The sequence below is a fragment of the Homo sapiens genome, chromosome 2 (assembly GCF_000001405.40).
Source record: "Homo sapiens chromosome 2, GRCh38.p14 Primary Assembly".
In the NCBI taxonomy this organism is placed as follows: Eukaryota; Metazoa; Chordata; class Mammalia; order Primates; family Hominidae; genus Homo; species Homo sapiens.
In genome coordinates, this window is record NC_000002.12 from 53,951,935 (window position 1) to 53,979,877 (window position 27,943).

Sequence of the window (27,943 nt, forward strand, 5' to 3'; positions counted from 1 at the left end):
GGGCTGTTGAATAAGCATAATGATAGAGCCTTCTGATGCCTCCCTCAATTTCACTCTAAATTTAGGAGCAAAAGCTAGAATCATTAAAATGTTATTTTAAATGAACACAAACATCTCCCTAAAAACTGGAACACATTTTTAAGATAAAGACAGAAGACATCAAAGAAAAATTCCCTGCTTTCAGTGGCTGCTTCAGGCCTTGTCAATATTCCAGATACCAGCCAGGCGTGGTGGCTCATGCCTGTAATCCCAGCACTTTGGGAGGCCGAGGTGGGCAGATCACGTGAGATTAGGAGTTCGAGACCACCAGCCTGGCCAATATGGTGAAACTTTGTCTCTACTACACACCTGTAATCCCAGCACTTTGGGAGGCCGAGGCAGACGGATCACGAGGTCAAGAGATGGAGACCATCCTGGCCAACATGATGAAACCCCTGTCTCTACTAAAAATACAAAAATTAGCTGGGCATGGTGGTGCGCGCCTCTAATCCCAGCTACTCGGGAGGCTGAGGCAGGAGAATTGTTTGAACCTGGGAGGCGGAGGTTGCAGCTGAGCCGAGATGGTGCTAGAGTTCTCCAGCCTGGGCAACAGAGAGAGACTCAGTCTCAAACAAACAAACAGAAAGATTCCAGATGCCCCTGGAGTCATGCATTCATTCTCCCCTGTGGTTAGGATACTTCTGCAGAAAAACTAGAGAAACACTGTACTCTAAGCCAGCAGTCCCCAACCTTTTTGGTACCAGGGAGAATCTCATAAGGAGTACACAACCTAGATCCCTTGCACGGGCAGTTCACAATAGGATATGAGCTCCTATGAGAATCTAACATCATGGCTAATCTGACAGGAGGTGGACCTCAGGCGGTAATGCCCAATCGCCTGTCCACTGCTCACCTCCTGCTGTGCAGCCCGGTTCCTAACAGGCCACAGACCCATACCAGTCCCTGAGCTGGGGGTTGGGGGACCCCCTGCTCCAAGCCACTGAAGTAACTTAGCTACAGCCCATTGTTTTCATTGCAGTAGACAGACAACTGTATATTTAACATTAGTTAGGGACATAAAATTAACAAAGCTCAAATTTTAATACTATAAAAAGAGACCAACAGGGGGATTCCTGGAAAGCCTAGGGCTGCTGACAAATCTAAAGATTCTGGAGGGACTCCTCAGAAAGCTTCTATTTCCCCCAGTTCCTCGCCAACCAGCAAGTGGTTCTTATCTCAGCATTTATCAAAATATGGTGCAAGAGATTTGTTTTAAAAGGGCACAAAAGTTCTAACTATAAAAAGAAAATTAATAAATTGGTCTTTATCATAAATAACTTCTAGTCACTATAAGACACCATTAAAAGTAAAAAGCCCAGAAATACATATATTTGACAAAGAACTCATATCCAAATTACTAGTAAGAAAAAGACATAATCCAATTAAAAATGGGCAAAAAGGCTGGGCGTAGTATACCTGTAATCCCAGCACTTTGGGAGGCGAAGGCAGGAGGATCAATTGAGATCAGGAGTTCAAGACCAACCTGAGCAACATGGTGAAACCCCATGTCTATTAAAAAAAAAAAAAAAAAAAAGAAAAAGAAGAACTATGCAGGGTAACTTTTAAAATGCATTATTCTTGGGATCCAAAAATCCTAGGAATATTAAATCTCAGTAAAGCTGTTTGTCTTTTTTTTTTTTTAAGGTGAATGAAAAATAAATTCCTGGAGTGCTAGAGTGCAGACTACCAATCTTCATTTTTTAGACTACTCTGGTTTGACTTTCCTGTAAGCTTAAGTTCAAAAACCCTACTTTAGACTGTATCTACAGATGGTGCATTCCCTCTTTCCAGTTAATTTTCACATTAGGTTTTAGGACTAATGATTACTATTAGGTGTCCCAAAATAACTGAAAACCCTGGTAAACAGTCACGATTGAACGTGATTGATATAGAATATTTCTTTCAACCATCCAGAATATATGGATAACAAGTCATTTTGTTCCATCCTCCCACAGGGGAAGAACAAAAAAGAGTAAAAGATAATACAATAGCATTTCCAGCCGCTTCCTCCTCACAGCCCTACAGTGTATTAATCAAATGATTTAATTTTTAATCATAAGAAAGACAGTGGGCTGGCCGGGCGCGGTGGCTCACGCCTGTAATCCCAGCACTTGGGGAGGCCGAGGCAGGCAGATCACGAGGTCAGGAGTTCGAGATCAGCCTGACCAACACAGTGAAACCCCATCTCTACTAAAAATACAAAAATTAGCCGGGTGTGGCGGCACGCGCCTGCAAACCCAGCTACTCGGGAGTCTGAGGCAGGAGAATCGCTTGAACCCGGGAGGCAGAGGTTGCAGTGAGCCAAGATCTCGCTGCTGCACTCCAGCCTGGGCAACAGAGGGAGACTCCATTTCAAAAAAAAAAGGAAAGAAAGAAAGACAGTGGGCTAGGCGCCATGGCTCATGCCTGAAATCCCAGCATTTTGGAAGGCAGAAGCAGGAGAATCACTTGAATCCAGGAGTTCAAGACCAGCCTGGGCAACAGAGTGAGACCCTCATCTCTATTATACATATTTAAAAATGTAATAATAACAAATTAATAAAAATCCTTCATCTAGCAATACTATCTTGAGTAAATAATTCAGGTCAGGTGTAGTGAGTCACACTTGTAGTCCCAGCACTTTGGGAGGCCGAGGCAGGCAGATCACTTGAGGTCAGGAGTTCAAGATCAGCCTGGCCAACATGGCAAAACCTCCACCTCTTCTAAAAAATACAAAAATTAGCTGGGCGTAGTGGCAGGCGTCTGTAGTCCCAGCTACTTGGGAGGCTGAGGCAGAAGAATCAGTTGAACCCTGGATGTGGAGGTTGCAGTGAGCCAAGACTGTGCCACTGCACTCCAGCCTGGGTAACAGAGAGACCTGTCTCAAAAAAAAAAATAACAATAATAATAATAATTCAGAATATCAAAGTCAAAATGCCAAAATGAGCGAGACACTGTGGCTCACGTCTATAATCCTAGCACTCTGGGAAGTTGAGGAGGAAAGATCACTTGAGGACAGGAATTCAAGACTAGCCTGGGTAACAAGGAGACCCCGTCTCTATAAAAAAAATCGCCAGGTGTGATGGCACGTGCCTGTAGTCCCAGCTACTTGGGAGGCTGAAACACGAGGAGCATCTGAGTCTGGGAGGTTGAGGTTGCAGTGAGCCATGATCTTGCCACTGCATTTCAGCCTGGGTAACAGAGCAAGACCCTGACTCTCCAAAAATAAAAAATTTTTAAAAGGCCAAATGCACATATGTAATTTCCAAAATTTCCTGAAAAAAAATCTATAAGTCTAGTATGAGAATGGCTTGTTAAAGTGTGGCTTATTCCTTTAGACTAAGCTTGTCCAACCGATGGCCCAGGATTGTTTTGAATGTGGCCCAACACAAATGCATAACTTTCTTAAAACATTTAGGTTTTCTGCAATTTTTTAAAGCTCATCAGCTATCATTAGCGTTAGTATATTTTATGTGTGGCCCAAGACAATTCTTCCAATGTGGGCCAGGGAGGCTAAAAGATTAGACACCCATGCTTTAGACTATAATGCAGTCACTTAAAATTGTGTTTTCAAATAACCTTTAGTAGAATATGGAACGGAATATAATATTTATAAAGCAAGGCTCAAAACAAATATATATAACTAAATAAAAATACATAATCATTCAAGGAAAAAGAAACAAAACAGGCCCAGCACAGTGGCTCATGTCTGCAATCCAAGCACTTTCGGAGGCCACGGCAAGCAGACTGCTCGAGTCCAGGAGTTTGAGACCAGCCTGGGCAACACTGCGAGACCTCGTGCCTACAAGATATACAAAAATTAGCCGGGCGTGATAGCGCATGTCTGTAGTCCCAGTAACTCAGGAGGCTGAGGTGGGAAGATTGGTGGGGCCTGGGAAGCGAAGGTTGCAACGTGCCAAGATCGTGCCACTGCACTCCAACCTAGGCAACAGTGAGACCTTAGTCCCCAAAAAAACCAAAACAAAACAAAAAAAGAAAAAAGTAGATACCATAAAATAGTCTCTCTGGGAGCCAGGTACAGTGGCTCACGCCTATAATCCCAGCACTTTGAGAGACTGAGACAGGCAGATGGTTTAAGCCCAGGAGATCGCTTGAGCCCAGGAGCTTGAGACCAGCCTGGGCAACATAGCAAAACCACATCTCTACAAAAAATTTAAAAATTAAAAACAAAACAAAACAAAACAAAAAACCTACCTCTGGGTGGTAAAACTGAGAAACTTTTTTGTGTTTTTCAAAACACATTTTCAGTTTTTTCACTTTCTAAAAGTAAATAGGCTGGGCCTGGTGGCTCAGGACTATAATCCCAGCACTTTAGGAGGCCAAAGCAGGAGGATCACCTGAGGTCAGGAGTTTGAGACCAGCCTCGTCAACACGGTGAAACCCCGTCTCTACTAAAAATACAAAAAATTAGCAGGGCATGGTGGTTAGTGCCTATAATCCCAGCTACTCGGGGGGCTGAGGCAGGAGAATCGCTTGAACCCGGGAGGCGGAGGTTGTAGTGAGCCGAGATCACGCCACTGCACTCCAGCCTGGGTGACAAGAGCAAAACTGTCTCAAAAAATAAAAATAATAATAATTTAAAAAAGTAAACAGGAATTATTATTCTATATATTTTTTGAGATGGAGTCTCTCTCTGTTGCCCAAGCTGGAGTGCAGTGGCCCAATCTCAGCTCACTGCAACGTCCGCCTCCCAAGTTTAAGCGATTCTCCTGCCTCAGTCTCCCAAGTAGCTGGAATTACAGGAGCCCACCACCATGCCTGGCTAATAGGAATTATTTTTATAATTAGAATTAACAATGAAAAAATTAATATCAAAGTTCTAATGTAAAATACAATGTTTAAAATCAGATAATCAATATTTCTGCATTTCTGTGTATTATCTTAATTTAAATGTCCCTTATCAAAGGCTACTTAAATAACGTCTTAAGAGTCAACTTGAATAGGTTTCTCACCAATCAAAAATGAAAAGGGTGTGAATCAAGGTAATTGCAACTGATATGTTTAAAACCATTGAGTTCATGAAAAATATCAAAACAAAACAAAACCTCACAGGCCACATCTTTCAGGAATGCCAGAGAACCAAGTCATTAACTTAAAAACTGGTAAATGAAGGGGAACAATTAAGCTTTACCCTGCCACTCCTACAGGCACTCAGGATAAACAACATTTCATGAGGAAAAGTTCTTTAGAGCAGTGGTCCCCCAAACTTTTTGGCACTTAATTTTAACACACAGAAAGGACCGGTTTTGTGGAAAACAATTTTTCCACAGATGGCGGGGGTAGTTTTGGGATGATTTGAGGACATTATATTTATTGTGCACTTTATTTCTATTATTATTAAATTGTAATATATAATGAAACAATTACATAACTCATCATAATGTAGAATCAGTGGGAGTCCTGAGCTTATTTTCCTGCAACTTAGATGGTCCCATTGGGGGGTGATGGGAGACAGTGACAGATCATCAGGCACAAGATTCTCACAAAGAGCACACAACCTAGATCCCTCTCATGTGCAGTTCACAACAGGGATTGTGCTCCTAAGACAATCTAATGCCACCACTGATCTGAGAGGAGGCAGAGCTCAGGCAGTAATGTGAGCAATGGGGAGGGGCTATAAATTCGGCTCAGTACAGTTACTTACAGGCCACAGCAGATTAACAGTACGTGGCCTGGGAGATGGAGACCCCTACTTTAGAGATTCCCACCAAATAAGCAGAGTAAAATGTTTAAGTATCACCATTTTGGAATCCCTAGCGATGTAAAATGGCTACTAATATCATCAAGAAGTAAGACATTATGCATCTCCTGATGACAGTATATAGTACCACTTATTGCACAGTCTTCAGAAAGCAAAACTTTATGTGCTTAATAATGGTAACAAAATATTGTGTGAGACAAATACGAACACTTTGAGCTTACAAAAACTATGTTCACTTTTCAATCTCCTGTGGAACACACATAAAAACTTGTTGGCCAGGAGCAGTGGCTCACTTGAGGTCAGGAGTTCGAGACCAGCCTGACCAACACAGAGAAACCCTGTCTCTACTAAAAATACAAAAATTAGCTGGGCATGGTGGCACACGCCTGTAGTCCCAGCTACTCAGGAGGCTGGGCCAGGAGAATTGCTTGAACTAGGGAGGCAGAGGTTGCAGTGAGGCAAGATCGCGCCACTGCACTCCAGCCTGGGCGACAGAGAAAGACTCTGTCAAAAAAAAAAAAAAAAAAAAAAATTAGCCGGGCATGGTGGCGTGCACCTGTAATCCCAGCTACTCGGGAGGCTGAGGTGGGAGAACTGCTTAAACCCAGGAGGTGGAGATTGCAGTGAGCTGAGATAGCACCGCTACACTCCAGGCTGGGCCACAGAGTGAGACTCCATCTCAAAAAAAACAAAAAAACAAAAAAACAAAAACTTGTCATAAACTAAGCCACAAAAAAAACCTCACTTATTTTTAACACATAGACATCATTCTGTCCAATCTGATTATGATACAGTGTAAATCAGAAAATACTAATGGGATTATAACCAAGAGAAACCAAATCCATTTGAAAACACACACGAGTCTTAATTAAACAGTCAATATCAGACTTTAAGGCATTCCTCTCCCAAGAGGCGCTTCCTTTAAAGTCAGATTCAGGACAATAATGACTATTCTTACCATTATGATTCAGCATTATTCTGAATCTAGATCAAAAGAATAGGTAACAAAAATTAGGGTAATTATTTCAGGTAAGGTGGAACTAAAAGTATGGTGTCAATGCTATGATTATACCTAAAACATCTGAAACAACTTAAAAAAAAAACACTTTTAGACTAAACTTTAAAATCTACTGAATACATATTTAAAAAAAAAAAAAAAGTCAGGAGCCTTCCTGTATAGCATCCAGATAAAAAGTAACAGTGTTGACGGAAGATTGTTCCATTCAAATTACCAACAAAAAAATTAATTGAAAATTTCTCAAAGAGAAATATGCAGGAATTACATGTTAAAACTTTACTAAAATGTAAAATATTTAAACAAATGGCGAGAAATAAGGACTTTTTAAAATGCCACTTAAGAGCTGGGCGTGGTGGCTCACACCTTATAATCCTAGCACTTTGGGAAGCCAGGGCAGGTGGACTGCTTGAGCCCAGGAGTTTGAAGCTAGCCTGGGCAACATGGCAAAACCCTATCTTGACTAAAAATACAAAAATTATTTTGTATTTTTTACTGATTATTGTATTTTTTATTTATTAATTATTTTGTATGTACAGGTGGTGTGCACCTGTAGTCCCAGCTATTTGGGAGGCTGAGGCAGGAGAATCGCTGGAACCCAGGAGGCAGAGGTTGCAGTGAGCTGAGACCATGCCACTGTACTACAGCCTAAGTGACAGAGCGAGACTCTGTCTCAAAAAAAAGAGGGGGGAAAAAAAGCTGCTTAATCCCTGACAGCTAGGGCTAAATGACAAATATTTTACAGCAAGGAAAACTACCATGACCCATGAGATCTCTGAACGACCCCCTCAATTAATTTCAGGCAGTAACTTCAACTCCTGCCCACCCAAAATAAACACTTCACCATAGCTATATCAGTTCCAGTCTTTTCCTTCTCTTTCCAAGGTTTCACCATATAGAAATAACAAAAAAGAGAGGTAAAAGTAGCAGAGAAAACTAAGGGATCAGGAACAAATTACTGTGATTTTATTCCAAGACTAAGTCCTTCATCATTACATATAATATTAAAAATGTAGATAAAGCTTCTCACTGCCAGAAACACTGAGTGAACAAATAAGAGGAAAGGTTTTTTCATAAACTCACCTCCCCTATTTTCAATTACCTGTATATTCAAAAAGCATTTCTAGAGCAAACAACACATACAAGACAATAATGACTCAAACAGTTCCTTTGGGCCAACAACTCGCAATCAAATAAGACAGTCAGATATGACATTCCAAGTACCTGGAAGACGAAACATGTAAAAGTGAAATAAAATAAAGCATTAACAGATTTTTGTGGATTGATTTTTTTAGCCCAATTTTCATCATATATTAAGTGGTCATTGACTTTGAAAGTTTAGAAAGCTGTCATCACTTAAGTTATACCCTGAAGAGGCAACCTGAGGTCAAAATAATCTGACCATCTGCAGAATTAAGAGTCATAGGAGGCCAGGCATGGTGGCTCACGCCCGTAATCTCAGCACTTTGGGAGGCTGAGGCAGGTGGATCACTTGAAGTCAGGAGATCCAGACCAGCCTGGCCAACATGGCGAAACCCATCTCTACTAAAAATACAAAAATCAGCCAGGCATGGTGGCGGGCGCCTGTAATCCTAGCTTCTTGGGAGGCTGAGGTGGGAGGATCACTTGAACCTGGGAGGCGGAGGTTGCAGTGAGCCAACATCAGGCCGCTGTACTCCAGCCTGGGCAACAGAGCGAGACTCCATCTCAAAAAAAAAAAAAAAAAAGGCACAGGAGACAGCTCTAGCTAGAGGAGCAGATTAAGAATGCATATTTCGGTGGCAAGGAGAAATAACAGAATAAAATGTTGTAAGTTTCTATTCTAGTTTGCTTTGCAACTAACATAATCAACTCTGGATATAACATTTATTGATTTCAACCAGTAGCCAAGTAAGCAGGAACAGCATGGTTCTACAACTCTGTTAAGAACTCAAACTGCTCTGTCAGTCCCTTGGGGAAGTCATTTAATCTCCATAAAATCTGGCTTTCTTCACAAGGCTATGGTGACAGACTGATAAACGTACATGAAAGATGCTATAACTTAACGGTTCTTCAGTGGGGCTCTGGGTACCAGTTGCTTTTGAATTTTTTTTTATGTTCCACAGATGTATCACCTGGTTTGAAAACCACTGGACTGGCCAGGCGCGGTGGCTCATACCTGTAATCCCAGCACTCTGGGAGGCCAAGGCAGGCGGATCACGTGAGGTGAGGAGTTCGAGACCAGCCTGACCAACATGGAGAAACCCAGTCTCTACTAAAAGTACAAAACTAGCTGGGCATGGTGGCGCATGCCTGTAATCCTAGCTACCCAGGAGGCTGAGGCAGGAGAATCGCTTGAACCTGGGAGGCAGAGGTTGCAGTGAGGCAAGATGGTACAATTGCACTCCAGCCTGGGTGACAGAGCAAGACTCAGTCTCAAAGAAAGAGAGAGAAGAAATGTTAAGTGTAAACCAAATACAGAAGTAGTCAACCTCAAGGTTCCAAATGGGAATATTTATAGTATGTGCTGCTTTTAACATTCCAATAGAGGTCTCAATGAATGTAGAGGTTTTCTGTTGCTGTTGTTGTTTGCTTACCGTTTTTACTACCATGCTCTCAGTTTGGTGTTCATATAGAATGAGATTTTGATCTAATTTTCTACAAAGGTTAGACAGAAACATAGATTAGGATTTTTGTATTTGAAAAGGAGGGAAGAGGCGCTAGGTGCAGTGGCTTATGCCTGTAATCCCAGCACTTTGGGAGGGCGAGGCAGGAAGATTTGAGCCCAGGAGTTTGCGACCAGCCGTGGCAACATAGTGAGACCCTGTCTCTACAAAAATAAAAATAAAATAATAAAAACCTAGCTGGGTGTGCTGATACATGCCCGTGGTCCCAGCTACTCCAGAGGCTGAGATGGGAAGATCGCTTGAGCCTGGGAGGTTGAGTTTGCAGTGAGCTGTGACAGCGCCACTGCACTCCAACCTGGGCGACAGAGCAAGACTGTCTAAAAATAAGGGGGGGAAGGGGGATGTTTGAAATGCTCATTCCCCATTGCTGTAAAGAAACAGCACTTCAACATAAATTTAATTTCCTCAGCAAGGCCATTTTTATACTTTCTGCAGAAAAGGTACACTCGCCAGCAGTTTTGCCAGGAGAGTACACCCAACAAAGGAGACAGGGTCATTTATAACCCGAAGCGTCCACCCTACTGTTGTGTCCGGTTTCCACTTGCTAGAACGGGACCTCACATTCTGTATTTGTCCCGATTGGCTAGCAACTTAGAACTTTTTAAAAGAGGCAAAGGCAGAGAACAAAGGAAGGAGGAAGTAACTTGTGGAATGCTGAGAAAGATAAAAACACCTTCAAATAAGGAAGAGGAACAGGCTATGACCTAATGCTTGCTTGGACCAGTATAAGCATGCCAGGGCAAATATTTAGGCTAAATTGTGGGAGCTAAGAACATAAAGTACATTGATTTCTTCATTATGGCTAGCAGATATTTAAGAATGTTTGCAAGGGTCTTTGAATAAATTTTGCTTGTAAGAGAAGTTACTATTTATTCCTAATTAGATGGGGAGGAAAGTCTTTGAAGAGGAACCTCTACTTTTTACAGGGGCGAAAGGGATTCTCTAAAAATAAGTCTCATTTAGCAGAAAAAAGTTAATTCCCAGGTTCCATAAGAAAAACAGTTCTTAGAAGTTATATAGTTATATGCTTATTTACAAGCTTGCCAAAAAAAAAAAAACAGTAAAAATTTGCCTCCACTTCAATTAACAACAGGTATTTCAAATACAATTTTATTTTACAACACTGCAGAAAGAACACTTGGGAAAACCATTCTTAAGTGACATTCAGATCTCAGAACATCAAACGGTACATTTCTTTTTTCTAACTGCCTTTCTTAGTGCCTCAAAGTAAGGCATTAAAACACAGTGGTCAGAATGAGATTTTCTTTTCAAATAATACATTCAGAATTCCTATTTTCTTCAATGTTTTTGATGAAGTTACCACCTGGCCTAGTCTGTCCTAAATGAACAAAAATGTGCACTGAATAAAGCACACAGCTGGGCACGGTGGCTCACGCCTGTAATCCCAGCACTTTGGGAGGCTGAGGCAGGCGGATCATGAGGTCTGGAGATCGAGACCATCCTGGCCAATAAGGTGAAACCCCATCTCTATTAAAAACAGAAAAATTCGCCAGGCATGGTGGCTGCACCTGTAGTCCCAGCTACGCAGGAGGCTGAAACAGGAAAATCACTTGAACCCAGGAAGTGGAGGCTGCAGTGAGCCGAGATCGCGCCACTGCACTCCAGCCTGGGTAACAGAGCGAGACTCAGTGTCAAAAAAAAAAAAAAAAGGACACATACCATATGCAGTGGCTCACGCATGTAATCCCAACACTTTCCCAACACTTTCAGGAGGCAAAGGTGGAGGATCACTTGAGCCCAAGAGTTCAAGGCCAGCCTGAGCAACATAGTGAGACTTTGTCTCAAGAAAAACTTTAAAAATTAGCTTGGCGTGGTGGTATATGTCTGTAGTCCAAGCTAACCAGGAGCCTGAGATGGGAGGATCGCTCGAGGCCAGGAGCTCAAGGTTAAAACAGGGGGGTATGATTGCACTCCCTATGATTCCAGCCTGGGTAAGAGACCAAGACCATCTCTTCAAAAAAAAACACACAAAAAAGAAAGAGCGCACTGAAACTTCCAGAGGGCAGAAAACTTGCGCTGATACATCCCAAACGCCAAAACCAGTGCCCAGCCCACGCATTGCACTCAAAAAATTGTGTTCAAAGAAGATTGATGTCTGCCTCTACTACACTGTATTAACCCATGACTGTACACTAACCTATGAGCCTCTTGTGTCTTCATTTTTTAAATGAAGGTAACTTAAGAGAATACTTGTTACCCCAGGATTGAGTCTAAGTCTTCAAAGGTAAAAGGCAGAAATGAAAGATGTCATAATGTGAAAATGTTCATTAATGAGCTATTTTCTTGATCTCTGTCCATGAGATTTGATTACAGTAAACCTTAGGCAAAAAAATGCAAATGAAATGGAAACTCAGAAGTAAAATCACAAATTTGGCAAAGAAGCAGAACCTTATGAGATTGATCAAAGTGATAATAGATGTTAATTTTTTTAGGTTTTATAATAGTATTGGTATTGCTTTTTTTAAAAAATTCCTTTTCCTTTGAAGATATATACTGGAAACATTCATGAATAAATAATATACTTCAAAAACAATGGGGAAAGGGGATGATGAAAAGAACATAACTGGCCATGAGTTAATTAAGTGAAGATAGGTGATGAGGTTCATTATATTGTCTTTTGAATATTTGATATTTTTCATAATAAAAAATATGTAATGAAAAGAGTTTAAATATTAGAAAACTTCAAATCAGAAACACACATATGCTCATTGGCCAGTGATGTTCAGGAAGAAATAGCCAATTAACTAGTGAAAAGAAAACGACAAGCTGTTTTCAAGAAATTACTGAGAGATCTCTGGAAAACAGTAAGGGCCTCAAATATTTTTGAAAAAAAAGTATATGTGTGACATCATCATGAAAAATCAAATGTATGCATGTGTAGAGACAGAGGGTATACAGGAACTCTATACTTTCCATTCAATTTTGCTGTGAACCTAAAATTGCTCTCAGAAATAAAATTTTTGAAAAAATCAAATATGAAATATGTCTTATTGTGCTATTACATTATACAACTTTATCAAAGAAATTCATGTTCTCCAAAATCAGTTCCTTTTTTTTCCCCTTATGGAAAATCAACTTTCTCACTACAAAGAAATTTTGGTTCCCATTTTGAATGATCACTTAACAACAAAGTAAAACCTCTTCTATCACTCTCTCTAACTGGTTCTCACTGATGAGTTTGGTAACTTGTCAAGATTTCAAGATTCATTTACAAATAAAACCACTTGCATTTATTGTGTACTTCAATTTCAATACTCAAACATTAGATACTCTTAGGTGCCTCATACCAGACAATGCAGATTCAGCAGTTAGCATTTCCTTTCTTTCCCAACACGGGGATGATATGAATGTGGGTGCTCCTGTGGCCACTTATTACTTTCCACAAGAGAAGGTTTGTGTATTTGATAACTCATACCTTGACTACACCTAAGTTTCTGGTGGTTACATAATCTAATCAAATACATTATGTGGTTTCAACTGGGATAATCAATCCACGAAGGCTGCATAATATTTGTAATAATAAAACAACTGTACTTTCAATTCTAAAGGGTGCCACAGTTTTAATTAGCAATTAAAATGACTTCACATTATAATATAGTCACTTAATCATAAAACAATACAAAACATGTCACTGTAGCAAACAGGGAATCTAAATTTGCTTCATCTTACACCAAACCCACATACTTCACTAAAATCAAAATTCTGTTTAAACACACACACACACAGACACACACACACACACACGAATCATGGATGGGATAAGTTGTAGGAAACAGTAATCCATTCGCTTATTCTCCATCCTTTTCCCGCCCTTTCCTCCAGACCAGTTTACCAGTTTAAAAGGAACAAAGAACTAGAAAGGCCAAGTGATTTTTTTTTTTTTTTTTGTAAGACAAGAGTCTCCCTCTGTCGCCTAGCCTGGAGTGCAGTGGCGCCATCTCGGCTCACTGTAGCCTCTGCCTCCCAGGTTCAAGCGATTCTTCTGCCTCAGTCTATAGGCGAGTGCCACCATACCAGCCTAAATTTTGTATTTTTAGTAGAGACAGGGTTTCACCATGTTGGCCAAGGAACTCCTGACCTCAAGTAATCTCAGCCTCCCAAAGTGCAGGGATTACAGGCGTGAGCCGCCACACCCAGCGCATCCAAGTGATTTTTCCAGCAGTATGTTGTGGAGCCCTGAGGAGGTTTCAAGAGTTCTACTATCAAGGAAGTATTTTTTTTTTTAATGAGTGGGGTTTTAATTTGCCTGAGGAATCCAATTTCAAGTTTAAAATTTTGGTTGTGTGTTTTTTTGTTTTTTTTTTTTTGAGTCAGAGTCTCGCTCTGTCGCCCAGGCTGGAGTGCAATGGTGCAATCGCAGCTCACTGCAGCCAGCCTCTGCCTTCCGGGTTCAAGCAATTCTTCTGCCTCAGCCCCCCGAGTAGCTGGGACTACAGGCACCCGCCATCATGCCCGGCTAACTTTTTTTTGTATTTTCAGCAGAGACGGGGTTTCACCATGTTGGTGAGGCTGGTCTCGAACTCCTGACCTTGTGATCCACCTGCTTCAGCCTCCCAAAGTACTGGGATTACAGGCGTGAGCCGCCACGCCCAGCCAAAATTTGGTTTTTTAACACTCCACTACTGGCACTACATGGTGACTCACGCCTGTAATCCCAGCACCTTGGGAGGCCGAGATCTTGGGCGGATCATTTGGGGCCAGGAGTTTGAGACAGCCTGGGCAACATGGCAAAACCCCCTCTCTAATAAAAATACAAATATTGGTCAAGTGTGGTGGTACTCACCTGTAATCCCAGCTACTTGGAGGCAGAGACATGAGGGTTGCTTGAACCTGGGAGGCAGAGGCTGCAGTGAGCCGACATTGTGCCACTGCACTCCAGCCTGGATGACAGAGCGAGACTCTGTCTCAAAAAATATAAAAATAAAAAATAAAACACTCCACTACTTAATTTAAAGTTTGAAAAACCACTAATAATCTAAAATCTTGCCAGGATAATAATGTTAGGCAGGCCACGGTGGCTCACGCCCATAATCCGAACACTTTGGGAGGCCGGGGTGGCCAGATCATTTGAGATCAAGAGTTTGAGACTGGCCTGGCCAACATGGGGAAACCCTGTCTCTACTAAAAATACAAAAAAATTAGCCAGGCGTCGTGGCACATGCCTATAATCCCAGCTACTCTGTCTCCAAAAAAAAAAAAAGATAATAATGTTGGAGGCAAGGCCAGATACACCTCACGTACAGATAACCTGAGGTGTTCTAACGAGCACCCGCAGCCCCTCATGAAAGGTCCAGAAAGGCAAGAGGGCAAAATCAAGTTTTTTGGGGTTTTTTTCTTTGTTGTTGTTTTTAAGATGGAGTCTCGCTCTTTTGCCGAGGCTGGAGTGGCGCTTGGCTCACTGCAACCTCCACCTCCCAGATTCAAGCGATTCTCCTGCCTCAGCCTCCTGAGTAGCTGGGATTAAAGGCGTGCACCACCATGCCAGGCTAATTTTCTTAATTTTAGTAGAGATGGGGTTTCACCATGTTGGTCAGGCTGGTCTCGAACTCCTGACCTCGTGATCCGTCTGCCTCGGCCTCCCAAAGTGCTGGGATTACAGGCATAACAAAATCAAGTTTTAAGAATACCTTTCTTCAACTCCCTTCATTCTCTACATGGGCCATACAAGTTATCTACCAATATTTCACTCACAGTGTCCATGAGCTGTCTGCCATTGTCCAAAGACCATTAATTTGTTCCTACTTTCTCTAATTTGTTTCAACTTCTCTGATTTGTTTCTTCCCTTATTAAAAATTTCCCTTGTGATGTGTTACATCACACAACCTCTCTTGACCAGACAGTTCTAGTACTTTAAATTGTCTGTACAGGAAAGCCTCTATCACATGGCCAAGTATTTAAAAATATAGAAATAACCTTTCTTCAGAGATGTTAAACAGACCTGCAAGTTTCTAAATGGACTGAACTACTAAAAATGAAGAAAAAAGTCAAAAAGAAGGCTGGGGCGGTGGCTCAGCCTGTAATCCCGCACTTTGGGAGGCCGAGGCACACAGATCACCTGGGTTCGAGACCAGCCTTGCCAAAATGGTGAAACCCCGTCTCTACTAAAAATACAAAAATTAGCCAGGCGTGGCAGCGCACAACTGTAATCCCAGCTACTCAGGAGGCTGAGGCAGGAGAATCGTTTGAACCAGGGAGGTGGAGGTGGAGGTTGCAGTGAGCCACGATAGTGCCACTACACTATCTTGTGTCTGGGCAACAGAGTGAGATTGTCTCAAAAAAAAAAAAAAAAAAAAAAAAAAAAAAGTCAAAAAGAGGGACCAAATGTAAAGCCTGAGAACCTTCCAAACCAGAACTTGGTCCCAAACACACCTCTGATGTCCAGATTACGGGTGCACATTTCTGATCAGCAAGATAGTCCCACTAACTCTCAACTGCATTTACACTTTGGTCTTTAGGAATGTACTTGATCTATGCAACTGTTTCCAGTATTTTACAAATTATTCAAACAGTTCTTGTAGAAAGATACACACAATGACTGATGTGAAGCTTGACAGGATTAAAAAAATAAAACTGCAGAATACCAGAGTAGAAATGCTTCTCAAGAATTTAGTCCAGGCCGGGTGCGGTGGCTCACACATGTAATCCCAGCACCTTGGGAGGCCGAGGTGGGCAGATTGCTTGAGGTCAGGAGTTCAAGACCAGCCTGACCAACATGGTGAAACCCTGTCTCTACTAAAAATACAAAAAAAGTAGCCAGGCATGGTGGCACTCGCCTATAATCCTACCTACTTGGGAGGCTGAGGCAGGAGAATCGCTTGAACCCGAAAGGCAGGGATTGCAGTGGGCCAAGATCCTGCCACTGCACTCCAGCCTGGGCAACAAAGCAAGACTCCACCTCAAAAAAAAAAAAAAAAAGAATTATTTAGTCCAATCCCCTCATTTCACGCACAAGCATACTGAAACACATGATTAAGTAACTTTCCCACAGTCTCAGAGCTAGTGGGAGAAACTAGATTTTCTTTTCATTACCACTTTCTATTCTACAAAGTACTAAATATGATCACCACTCAGCTTTCGTCACACGTTTTGGCATTATTCAGATGTTCACTTATGCAACACAGAAGGCTTAAAAAACAACAAGCACAACTATGAACAGGTCACCTTAACATGACTTAGGAAAAAAACACACCCAAGATCACAACATGTCCCACCGCATTCAAAATGTCTCATAGTGCAATATCAAGAATCAGTTTCCAGCATCTAACCACTATTCCAAAATAAAATTCTACCCAGTAGCATTTCTTGCTGGTTATTTAGCTATAAATGGTTATGGGTTCATGGGTATTAAGCCATCAGCTATCTGCAATCCAGCCCTAAACACCAAACATTAGCTCCATTGTTATTTTTAGCCCTTTCTAGGTACAAACTTTTATCTAATAAGCCAAAACAATAACAAAACTCGGAGTGCTAATTTACCAAACTTGTTAACAATAAATACTTTAGAAAACAATGCTTAACTATGCCTTGGTAGATTCTAGGTTTATAAATCCAAAGCAGATATGCCTTCACACCATGGCATATTTATATAATGTACACTAAAAAAAGCTGTTTGCGTCCCCAAAAATGGTAGGTATTCTCTGGCAAGTCTAATCCAAGTGATTAAAATGGGGAATTACTGTAACAAAGTGACTATTTTTACTGTGCCTGAGCAACACAAAAACCTAGGAGTCTCACTTGAAAAAGCATTTGGATTTTAACTATTTATAAAATATTCTTTTTTGACTAAACGTGGTTCTCCCTGTTGCATTCCTGCTTCTGCCGCCCCTCACCTCCATTCTCCTAAGGATCCTAACACGAAAAACTTCATTATACTCTAGTCAAGGGGAGAGCTGTTAACCTTGACATTTTATGATCACTCTCTGAAGAGGGCAAATTACATGTTTTAGTTTTGCTTCTTTTTAATTAAAAAGGTCCCACCCACCCCTCAAGTGGAAATGAGAAATTTGTCAGAGGCCCCTTAATAATTGGCAGATGAGAATCATCCAGTGAATATACACAAAACTATTACAAAACCCTGAGTCATCACTCAGTTCAATCAGCAGCTTTGGGTAAACACTGAATGAGTGAGTTATGTCTTGTGTGTTCACCCGTCCATACCCACATGCGTGAACATACCATGTTACTAGATTTTATGTACAGTTAACCAAACAAGATACAGCAAAATTCTTTCTTAAAAAGCTCTTCGGACACAGTAAAGATGCCCATCCAGCAAGTAAATGTAACCTTTTTTCCCCCACTGTATTTTCACTCGTTTTTTTTTTTTTTTTCCTAATTTCAGTGACACTATAGTTTGAAGCTAGTTTACAAACAGAACTCCTGAAACTGATTTAGGTAATCTCTTAATCTGAGTAACTCAAAAAATTAACACAAGCCTGATACTAATATCGCCCTGGACATCCTGACAGTGCTCTTCCCTACTTTCCTCAGTATCTTAAATGTCTCTCCAAAAGAAATGTCACAACAGGAGCAACACACAATCCAAAACAACACTGTCCACATAAGACGTTAAGCTCAAGAATGAGGTCTGACTTTAAACGACCCTTTTCGATCAACTCCGCCAGGTCTGAGAGGGCCCCCAAAAAGCAAAACCCTTAAGTTTCCCTATGGTCTTCTCTCCATTCAGAAAGTTACTAGACGCCAACGGAGATGCGAAGAGGCGGGGATCGTAGGGGAAGGAAGAACCGGAGGAAGCAAGGAGACAAGTCAAGGAACTCCCCCAAAGACAAATTCTCTTTGCCCCGCCTCTCCCATGCGCAAAAGTCCACGGAGGACCCTTGAGAAAGGCTCACCTCTCTCCCTCGGGGCCGGGGCCCTTGGGCTACCCAGGGCCCCCCAGGTGGGAAGACAACAACCCGAACACTTCGGGAGAAGCAGATGCGGAGGACGTAGAGGGATGGTAAAGACCCGGGAAGTCCCGTAGGAAAGTGGCAGGGAGGACGGCTTGAGTACTTCACAGGCTCTGTCACGACCCTGGGATCACCGCTCGGGGACAGCTCCAGCGAGGACAGAGCTAAGGGTCCAGCCCTCTGGACAAAGAGCAACCATCCCCGACACCTCTCACTGAGCCTTTCCCCCCGGCCCGGCCCGCAGGCCCGGGCACACTTACGTGGAGAGTTTCCTGGTCCAGAAGAGGCCCCCGGGCCACAGCTCTTGGAGCTGCACGGCCCGGCCCAGGTTGCATTTGATCTGGGCCAGCTGCAAGTCGGACTCGGCGTCTAGCCGCTCCGCGTAGGGCAGCAGCTTGTTGTAGACGATCTCCTTCTGCGGGACGAAGCCCCGCGGGCCCGGCTCGGGACGCCCGCCCGGCTCCGGGGGCTCTCCGACTCCCGCCCGCTCGGCCGGCTCCATGAGCCCAGGGACACCCCCCCCACCCCCTCCCACCCGAACCCTCCCCGGCCCCCACCCCTCTCCGGGCTCCGCCTCCTCCGCGTCTTCGTCGCCCTGCGGCCGCTGGCGGCCCGTCGCCCTCGGACCGATCGCTAGGCCCCCTTCCCTGGCCGGCGTGCTGCTGGGCCCCACGCGGCTCTCAGTTCGTTGGCGGCGGCAGCGGCCGCTCTGCCCGCCCCGCACCGGCTCTGCTGGTGACGCTGCAGCCGCCGGGCCCAGAGGTTCCGGACCGGCCTCAAGTCACTTCCGGGGCGGGGCGGGGCGGAGCGACGGCGTCGGGGGAGGCGGTGGTGGCGGCAGCTGGAGCCCAACGGGCTGCGCCTTCTTCGCCGTGGGCCCGGCTCGGAGCCCCCACCCCAGGCCTCACCGGCCCAGCGCGAGGCTGCCTCACCGGAAACACGAGGCCGAATTCCAAGCTATTGTCCTGCTTCGCCGGGGGTCGCGCACTCCAAGCGGCAGCCCACTGGAGTCCCAGTCGCCACGACAGGCGGCAGCCAGGTCGGCCTGGTCCCCCTAGCCGAGCAGCCCCGGCTTCTGGGTTAGAGGGGTTTATGGAAAAGCCTACGTACCCACTTGCTCCTTATAGATTTATTTACTCCATCCCGCTTGTTCCTTATAGATTTAATTTTTCTGTCCCCTTTAAGTCCCCATCTTTCTGGTATTCTGGCCGCCATCATTCCAAAGAAGAAAATAGTTACTCGCTGAACAAATGCTATTTGAACAGCTGTTTTGTGTGTAAGGCGCTCAGTTTAGGCTATTGAGATAGAAAGTTTAACCTGGTTTCCGCCCTCCCAAGGACTTAGTCTAGCAGAGATAAAGACGTGAATTACAAGATAATGCTCTTAATTGCTAGATAAGTACAAGAATCCTTAGGAACTCTACAAAGAAGTTGAAACTAGGGGGTTTGAGAGGGTGTCATTTTCCTAGAAGTGATACTTAATTTAAGCTATGAAGGTTGAGTGCAAAGTTGGTTAGAAAAAGGAGGGAGGAGGACACGTATTTCAGCTGAGAGAACAGCTTTGACGCTGCAAGCATGTATTCTAAAAATTCAAAGTTCAAAATAGCGTAAGAGAGGGGACGGAGAAATGAGACTGAGAAGGCAATCCTAAGGAATTCAGAGCTTTATCCTAGAGACAAACTTCCAAAAGATTTTAAGCATAGCAGTGGGATGATATAATTTACATTTTTTAAGAATTACTCTGGCGGCCGGGCGCAGTGGCTCACGCCTGTAATCCCAGCACTTTGGGAGGCCGAGGCGGGCGGATCACGAGGTCAGGAGTTCGAGACCAGTCTGGCCAACATGGTGAAACCCCGTCTCTACTAAAAATACAAAAAAGTTAGCCGGGCGTGGTGGCGGACGCCTGTAATCCCAGCTACTCGGGAGGCTGAGGCAGGAGAATCGCTTGAAACCGGAAGGCGGAGGTTGCAGTGAGCCAAGATCGCGCCAGGGCACTCCAGCCTGGGCAACAAGAGCGAAACTCCGTCTCAAAAAATAAAAGGGCCAGGCGCGTGGTGGCTCACGCCTGTAATCCCAGCACTTTGGGAGGCCGAGGCGGGTGGATCACGGGGTCAGGAGATGGAGACCATCCTGGCTAACATGGTGAAACCCCGTCTCTACTAAAAATACAAAAAAATTAGCCGGGCATGGTGGCGGGCGCCTGTAGTCCCAGCTACTCGGGAGGCTGAGGCAGGAGAATGGCGTGAATCCGGGAGATGGAGCTTGCAGTGAGCCGAGATCGTGCCACAGCACTCCAGCCTGGGTGGCAGAGCGAGACTCCGTCTCAAAAAAAAAAAAGAGTCACTCTGGCTTCGTCTGGAAAATGGGTTGGAACTGACAAGATTGGGAACTGGAGGACCCTTTAAGGTGTGACATAATCATGGCCTGGATGTCAGTTGAAATTGAGAGCTACTTCAGCAGAATGGCTTGGGCTTAGTAGTTGACTGAAAGTGAAAAATTAAAAAGGAAAGAGACAAGACGACGCTGGGTAGATAGGTGAAGTCCTTCACTGAGATAAAGAACACAGCAGAAACAGCTTGGGAGGCAGAATGCCTATGGGATGGGTATGTTGACATATGTATCAGGAGGGTGATCTAAACTGAGATGCAGATTAGCGTGTAGATGGACGACAGGAGGGAAGGAAATATACAGTATGAAAAAATAGGGCCCTTCACAAATCTCTGAGGAGCCCCACATTTAAGGACAGACAGAGAAAAGGAAGGTAGGCCACAAAGAATATTCACAAAAAGCAGAGAGAGGAGGAGTTCTAGGAAACTGGGTGTCTCATGGAGAAGCGAACAATCCTACCTTAGGTAGCTAACAGGTCAAATGAAGTGAAACCTGAAAGGGTTTATTGGATAGTTTATTGATAAAGCGCATAAGAACAGTGTCGTTGGAGTGTAGAATAGAAATCTGATTATGGTGACAAAGGACAAATGGGAAGTGAATAAATAGAGGCAGCAAATATGGACAACCTTTTAAAAAATAATGGGGTAGGGAGAGCCGGAAAGAGATGAGTGTCAGGCCTCTGAGCCCAAGCTAAGCCATCATATCCCCAGTGACCTGCATGTATACATCCAGATGGCCTGAAGCAACTGAAGATCCACAAAAAAAGTGAAAATAGCCTTAACTGATAACATTTCACCATTGTGATTTGTTTCTGCCCCACCCTAACAGATGAATGTACTTTGTAATCTCCCCCACCCTTAGGAAGTTTCTTTATAATCTCCCCAACCCTTAAGAAGGTTCTTTGTATTTCTCCCCACCCTTGAGAATGTACTTTGTGAGATCCACCCCCTGCCCCCAAAACATTGCACTTAACTCCACCACCTATTCCAAAACCTATAAGAACTAATGGTAATCCCAACACCCTTTGCTGACTCCTTTTTCAGACTCAGCCTGCCTGCACCCAGGTGAAATAAACAGCCATGTTGCTCACACAAAGCCTGTTTGGTGGTCTCTTCCCACGGACGCGCGAGACAATGAGGAGGTACTTGGAATAAAAGGAGGGATTTTTGAATGTGGGATATATATATGTGTGTGTGTGTGTGTGTGTGTGTGTGTGTGTGTGTGTGTGTGTGTATATATTTTTTTTTTTTTTTTTTTTTTTGAGTCTCACTCTGTAGCCCAGTCTGGAGTGCAATGGATCCATCTCGGCTCACTGCAATCTCCGCCTCCGGGGTTCAAGTGATTCTTCTGCCTCAGCGCCTCGAGTAGCTGGGACCACAGGTGCGCACCACCACATCCAGATAATTTTTTTTTTTTCGGTATTTTTAGTAGAGACAGGCTTTCACCATATTGGCCAGGCTGGTCTCGAACTCCTGACCTCGTGATCCGCCCGCCTTGGACTCCCAAAGTGTTGGGATTACAGGCTTGAGCCACTGAGCCCGGCCATATTTAGATATATTTAAATATGGATGAAAAGGAGCCAGTGGAGAGAGAAGTTAAAGATATTGGGTGAGGACGACAAAGAGCGGAAGAGAATGTGGAGTCATTGACCTTTAGAAGCAAATCAAACTGTGCTTCCATTGTCAGAGGAGGAAAGCAGGGAAGGAAGCATAGGTGCAGATGCTGGAATGTTTGGTACTGGAAGTTGGAGAAGTTCTTTCTATAGTTTCTATTTTTTCCTATGAAACAAGACAATGAGAATTATAGGGAAGTGGTAGGTAGATTTGAGGAAATTGAAGAAGCCTTAGAGTAGTCTCAGAATTCAGAAAATTGATTTAAAAAGTTAGAATTGTTTGGCAGGTAAGGCTGGAAGCTTGAATTTACTATTATCTATCTGCACAATTTAATGATTTTTTCCCTAATACTGTTTAGTGGCCCAGGATTGTGTGACATACAGTATATACTAGTGACATACTAGTATAATAGAATGACAAAAGATCAAGATAATGTTTTTTATGTTGCCAGTAGTGATGGTAGTGTTAGCTATCATTCATTGAGCATTTCTGTCTGCCAGTGCTTTACCTACATTATCTCACTGAATTCTCTAGAGATAATTGAGTTGAGAATATTTGAAAGAGAGTGGTTAAAGTCTAAGTTTGGTTGACGTGTAAGTGAAGAGAGTAGAGAGCTAATAGGGAAGGAGAAGAGAGATGTCAAGACACTTACATGCTGATGAGCTATAAGGGAAAGATGAAAGGATTCGCCTGAGCAAGGGATCTAGAAGAATAGAAATGTTTGGATTTAAGATTTCGAAGAGACCAGCCTGGCCAATATGGTGACACCCCGTCTCTACTAAAAATACAAAAATTAGCCTGGCATGGTGGCGTGCGCCTGTAGTCCCAGCAACTCAGGAGGCTGAGGCAGAAGAATTGCTTGAACCCGGGAGGCAGAGGTTGCAGTGAGCTGAGATCACACCACTGCATTCCAACCTGGCGACAGAGCGAGACTCTGTCTCAAAAAAAAAAAAAAAAATTCAGAGAAGCAGTTCCAGATGACAATGAGCTCCCTAGAAACAAACATCTGAACTGGAAAAGTTGAAGAATTTACGGGAGCAAGCAAAATAAGGTCTCTTCCTCTTATTCTAAATAAAGTTTCATGGAGAACACTATTGAAATGCTTCCCAGTGAGAAAGTTAGAAGACCTTTCTTTCGGGGAGCTGGTCTGCTCATTAGTGGAGACAGTAACCCAAAGTCTGGGGTGGATTTTCTCTTCTCAGTCCAACTTGTTATCTCTTGAAGGTCAGGAGACACTGCCAAAGGATAACAGCACGTTATCCTTTTGAGGCTGGGCTGGGTGGCTCACGCCTGCAATCCCAGCACTTTGGAGAGACAAGGCAGGCGGATCACAAGGTCAGGAGATCAAGAGCATCCTGGCTACCACACTGAAACCCCGTCTCTACTAAAAATACAAAAAATTAGCTGGGTGTGGTGGCATGCACCTGTAGTCCCAGCTACTTGGGAGGCTGAGGCAGGAGAATCGCTTAAACCCGGGAGGCAGAGGTTGCAGTGAGCCAAGATCGCGCCACTGCACTCCAGCCTGGGTGACAGAGCGAGACTCTCAAACAAACAAACAAAAAAAACAGGATGTTATCCTTTTAACCAGACCTGGAGGGAGACACTGACTTCTTATCAGACCCTCAAGGAAACAGACTATAATCACTCTTCTTGCAAGACCCAGAAAATGCAGTGGCCCTTCAAAGAAAATATTCTAAAGAGAGAGGTTCCTTCTCCAGCTGGAGGGATTAGCAGAGACAATTTTCAATCAAATATTTATGTCTTTGATGTGCTTATTGGAACACTAATTAATCACTTATTAGCAGTGAACAAAAAATGACAGGTTATTAGTGTCACATCTTGCCCATCTTAGTTTTCTCTGTATATATGATATACTTGGGGCTAGAGATATATTGGCAAGTGAATGAATCTCTGTTGCCAGAAACATAATCTTTTTTTTCTTTTTTAGTCAGGGTTTCACTCTCTTACAGGCTGGAGTACAATGGCACAATCACAGCTCACTGCAGCCTCCACCTCCTGGGCTCAAGTGATTCTCCCACTTTGGCCTCCCAAGTAGCTGGGACTACAGGTGCATGCTACCATGTCCGGCTAATTTTTAATTTCTTGTAGAGATAGAGTCTCAATGTGTTGCCCGGGCAGGTCTTGAACTCCTGGACTCAAGCAATCTGCCCGCCTCAGCCTCCCAAAGTGCTGGGATTACAGGGGTTAGCCACCACACCTGGCCAGAAACGTAATCTTTAGAAGTATTTGAATTAGAATGATTCATTGCAATGTAATTAAATATCCAGACTTCTGCTGAATTGCAGTTATTAGAGGAACAAGAATATTAGATCTGGTCTGAAGATTTGGGAGGAAAAAAAGAATATTAGATCTGAGAAATGTTGAGTTTTTTCTAGTTCCTGTAGGATTTTTAAGTTTTGAATTTTTCCTTCAAAAATCATTTTCATCCAGCCATTGTATCTACTTCACTTCATTTGAACTAGAGTATATGTGGAGTTCAGTTTCTCATAAGGAAAATCACAGCTAAAGGAATGAATTTTTCTCTCATTATTTTAGGCATTTGTTAGGCATTCTGTCATTTCACTAAAATGTAGCCAGATGTGGGCTTCTTTTTGTTTATTTTTGGGGGGATTTGTATTTCTTGAATCAAAAGATTCATCTTCATCAATTATGCAAAATTTTCACTATTTTTTTGTAATTTCTTTGTACTCCTTGTAGAATTCCTATTAGACATTTGTTTTACCTTCTCATTCTAATATCCATATTTCTTTTCTTTTCTTTTTCAGATGGAGTCCTGCTCTGTTGCCCAGGCTGGTGTGCAGTGGCATGATCTGGGCTCACTGCAACCTCCACCTTCTGGGTTCAAGCAATTCTTCTGCCTCAGTTTCCCGAGTAGCTGGGACTACAGGCACCCGCCATCACGCCCAGCTAATTTTTTATATTTTTAGTAGAGACGGGGTTTCACATTTAGCCAGGATGGTCTCCATCTCCTGACCTCATGATCCGCCTGCCTCAGCCTCCCAAAGCGCTGGAATTACAGGCGTGAGCCGCCGCGCCTGGCCAGGCCTGGGAATTTAACCTGTGGAGAGTTCTGTTTTTATGCAGTATTTTACTTCCAACTCCCTTAGGTCTCAGCCTTCAACTTCTATCCCTGGGTAGATATTAAAACCCAAGTCACTGCCAGGCTCACACCTGTAATCCCAGCACTTTGGGAGGCTGAGGTGGGCAGATCACGAGGTCAAGAGTTTGAGACCAGCCTGACCAACATGGTGAAACCCCATGTCTACTAAAAATACAAAAAAATTAGCTGGGTGTGGTGGCATGCGCCTGTAATCCCAGCTACTCAGGAGGCTGCGGCAGGAGAATCGCTTGAACCTGGGAGAGGGAGGTTGCAGTGAGCTGAGATTGTGCCACTGCACTCCAGCCTGGGTGGCAGAGCAAGACTCCATCTCAAAAAAAAAAAAAAAAAGCCCAAGTCACTTGCTGTTTCTGGATCCAGTAACGCTGCCTCAAATTTGATTCAGTCACCTCACATACTTAACATTCTGGCTTTCCTTTCCTCTGTTTCTGGCATCTGGAGATTTCCTTTTTTTGTGTGTGAGCTCATTTATGGTTATCTGTTGTTATGTTTAATACAACCATTCCTGGCTGAGGCTGCCACATCTAGAGCTGGAAAACCATTAAGAAATAAACTTCTGGCTGGGCATGGTGGCTCACGCCTGTAATCCCAGCACTTTGGGAGGCTGAGGCAGGTGGATCACTTGAGGTCAGGAGTTCGAGATCAGCCTGGCCAACGTGAAGAAACCCCATCTCTACTAAAAATACAAAAATGAGCCGGGCATGGTGGCACACACCTGTAATCCCAACTATTTTGGAGGCTGAGACAGGAGAATTGCTTGAACTCAGGAGGCAGAGATTGCAGTGAGCTGAGATCGTGCCACTGCACTCCAGCCTGGGTGACAGAGTGAGACTCCATCTCAAAAAAAAAAAAAAAAAGAACTTCTAATTCTAAAATATTATAGAAATTATTGGGAGCAAAATGGAGTGACTGTGGATGATTAAGAGCTTTCTTAGAGTCCTCATCAAATCATGCAGGTGATTAATGATACCTGTCCACCAAGTTATATAGTCATGTACAGCATAATGATGTTTTGGTCAAGTAAGGACCACATAGACAGTGGTCCCACAAGATTATAATGGAGCTGAAAAGTTCCTATAACCGAGTGTGGGTAGCCTAGCACAAGGCAGTACTCACATGTTTGTGGTGATGCTGATGTGAACGAACCTACTACACTTCCAGTTTGTATAAGAGTATAGCACAGGCTGGGGGTAGTGGCTCACACCTGTAATTCCAGCACTTTGAGAGACCGAGGTGGGCAGATGGCTTGAGCTCAGGAGTTCACAACCAGCCTGGACAACATGACAAAACTCAAATATTCAAAAATATATATTTGCAACATGGCAAAACCTTCTACCAAAAATACAAAAACATTAGCCAGGTATGGTGGCACATTCCTGTGGTCCCAGCTACTCAGGAGTCTGAGGTGGGAGGATGGCCTAAGCCTGGGAGGCAGAGGTTGCACTGAGCTGAGATCGTGCCACTGCACTCCAGCCTGGATGACAGAGTAAGACCTCATCTCAAACTTAAAAAAAAGAGTATAGCATATACACTCATACAGCACGTGATACCTGATAATAATAAACGACTGTTACTAGTTTATGTATTTGCTATACTATACCTTGTATTGTTATTTTAAATTGTACTCCTTCTACTTATTAAAAAAAAAAAGGTAACTGTAAAACAGCCTCAGGCAGGTCCTTCAGTAGGGATTCGAGAAGGCATTATTATTATAGAAGATGAAAGCTCCATGCGTGTTATTGCCCTTGAAGACCTTCCAGTGCAACAAGATGTGGGGGTAGAACAGAGTGATATTAATGATCCTGACCCTGTGTAGGCCTAGGCTAATGTGTGTGTTTGTGTCTTCATTTTTAACAAAAAATACTTAAAAAGAAAAAATATATAAAAGTTTTAAAATAGAAAAGCACATAAAAAATTAGGATACAAGCTGGGTCTGGTGGCTCACGCTTGTAATCCCAGCACTTTGGGAGGCCGAGGAGGGCAGATCAAGAGATCAAGAAATTGAGACCATCCTAGCCAACATGATGAAATCCCATCTCTACTAAAAATAAAAAAATTAGCCAGGCATGGGGGTATGCACCTGTAGTCCCAGCTACTGTGGAGGCTGAGGCAGGAGAATCACTTGAACTCGGGAGGTGGAGGTTGCAGTGAGCCGAGATTGTGCCACTGCACTCCAGCCTGGCAACAGAGTGAGACTCTGTCTCAAAAATAAAAAAAAAAATTAAAAAAAAAGGATATGAAAATATTTCTGTACAGCAGTACAATGTGTGTGTGTTTTTTTGTTTTTGTTTTTGTTTTTAGATGGAGTCTCACTCTGTGGCTCAGGCTAGAGTGCAGTGGCGTGATCTTGGCTCCCTGCTACCTCCACCTCAAGGGATCCTCCCACCTCAGCCTCCCTAGTAGCTGGGATTAGAGGCTTGTGCCACCCTGCCTGGCTGTTTTGTATTTTTAGTAGA

General features: G+C 43.4%; 2 protein-coding genes across 3 annotated transcripts in view, besides 7 other annotated features; one reads left to right on the forward strand and one right to left on the reverse strand.

The window, feature by feature from the left end:
• PSME4 (proteasome activator subunit 4) overlaps window positions 1-19,059 on the reverse strand; it is a 106,925-nt gene extending 87,866 nt beyond the window's left edge. Inside the window, exon 1 of the mRNA NM_014614.3 lies at window positions 18,609-19,059. Within this exon, the coding sequence (NP_055429.2) occupies window positions 18,609-18,850 (242 nt within the window). The 5' untranslated portion in view covers window positions 18,851-19,059. The remainder of the gene's footprint in view (window positions 1-18,608) is intronic.
• Window positions 17,907-18,671: an enhancer, noted in NCBI's record as "H3K27ac hESC enhancer chr2:54196978-54197742 (GRCh37/hg19 assembly coordinates)". NCBI's record gives its function as "activates a minimal SCP1, AML or CMV promoter by ChIP-STARR-seq in naive H9 embryonic stem cells {active_cell/tissue: H9 hESC(naive)}" and the evidence as "EXISTENCE:reporter gene assay evidence [ECO:0000049][PMID:30033119]".
• Window positions 18,728-18,927: a silencer, noted in NCBI's record as "silent region_11482". NCBI's record gives its function as "represses an Ori minimal core promoter by ATAC-STARR-seq in GM12878 lymphoblastoid cells {active_cell/tissue: GM12878}" and the evidence as "EXISTENCE:reporter gene assay evidence [ECO:0000049][PMID:35858748]".
• Window positions 18,902-19,063: a silencer, noted in NCBI's record as "fragment chr2:54197973-54198134 (GRCh37/hg19 assembly coordinates)". NCBI's record gives its function as "represses an EF-1alpha promoter that drives an FKBP-Casp9 reporter gene in an ReSE screen in HepG2 liver carcinoma cells and phorbol 12-myristate 13-acetate-treated (for megakaryocytic differentiation) K562 erythroleukemia cells {active_cell/tissue: HepG2 | K562(+PMA)}" and the evidence as "EXISTENCE:reporter gene assay evidence [ECO:0000049][PMID:32094911]".
• Window positions 18,902-19,327: a biological region, named in NCBI's record as "Sharpr-MPRA regulatory region 11857".
• Window positions 18,938-19,232: an enhancer, noted in NCBI's record as "tiled region #11857; HepG2 Activating DNase unmatched - State 1:Tss, and K562 Activating DNase matched - State 1:Tss". NCBI's record gives its function as "activates a minimal TATA promoter and a strong SV40 promoter by Sharpr-MPRA in HepG2 and K562 cells {active_cell/tissue: HepG2 | K562}" and the evidence as "EXISTENCE:reporter gene assay evidence [ECO:0000049][PMID:27701403]".
• Window positions 18,938-19,327: a silencer, noted in NCBI's record as "silent region_11483". NCBI's record gives its function as "represses an Ori minimal core promoter by ATAC-STARR-seq in GM12878 lymphoblastoid cells {active_cell/tissue: GM12878}" and the evidence as "EXISTENCE:reporter gene assay evidence [ECO:0000049][PMID:35858748]".
• ACYP2 (acylphosphatase 2) overlaps window positions 19,179-27,943 on the forward strand; it is a 334,188-nt gene continuing 325,423 nt past the window's right edge. For both annotated transcript variants that reach the window (NM_001320586.2, NM_001320587.2), the window contains exons 1-2: window positions 19,179-19,387; window positions 21,779-21,876. In NM_001320586.2, the coding sequence (NP_001307515.1) occupies window positions 21,815-21,876 (62 nt within the window). In that variant the 5' untranslated portion in view covers window positions 19,179-19,387; window positions 21,779-21,814. The remainder of the gene's footprint in view (window positions 19,388-21,778; window positions 21,877-27,943) is intronic.
• Window positions 19,528-19,577: an enhancer, noted in NCBI's record as "active region_15756". NCBI's record gives its function as "activates an Ori minimal core promoter by ATAC-STARR-seq in GM12878 lymphoblastoid cells {active_cell/tissue: GM12878}" and the evidence as "EXISTENCE:reporter gene assay evidence [ECO:0000049][PMID:35858748]".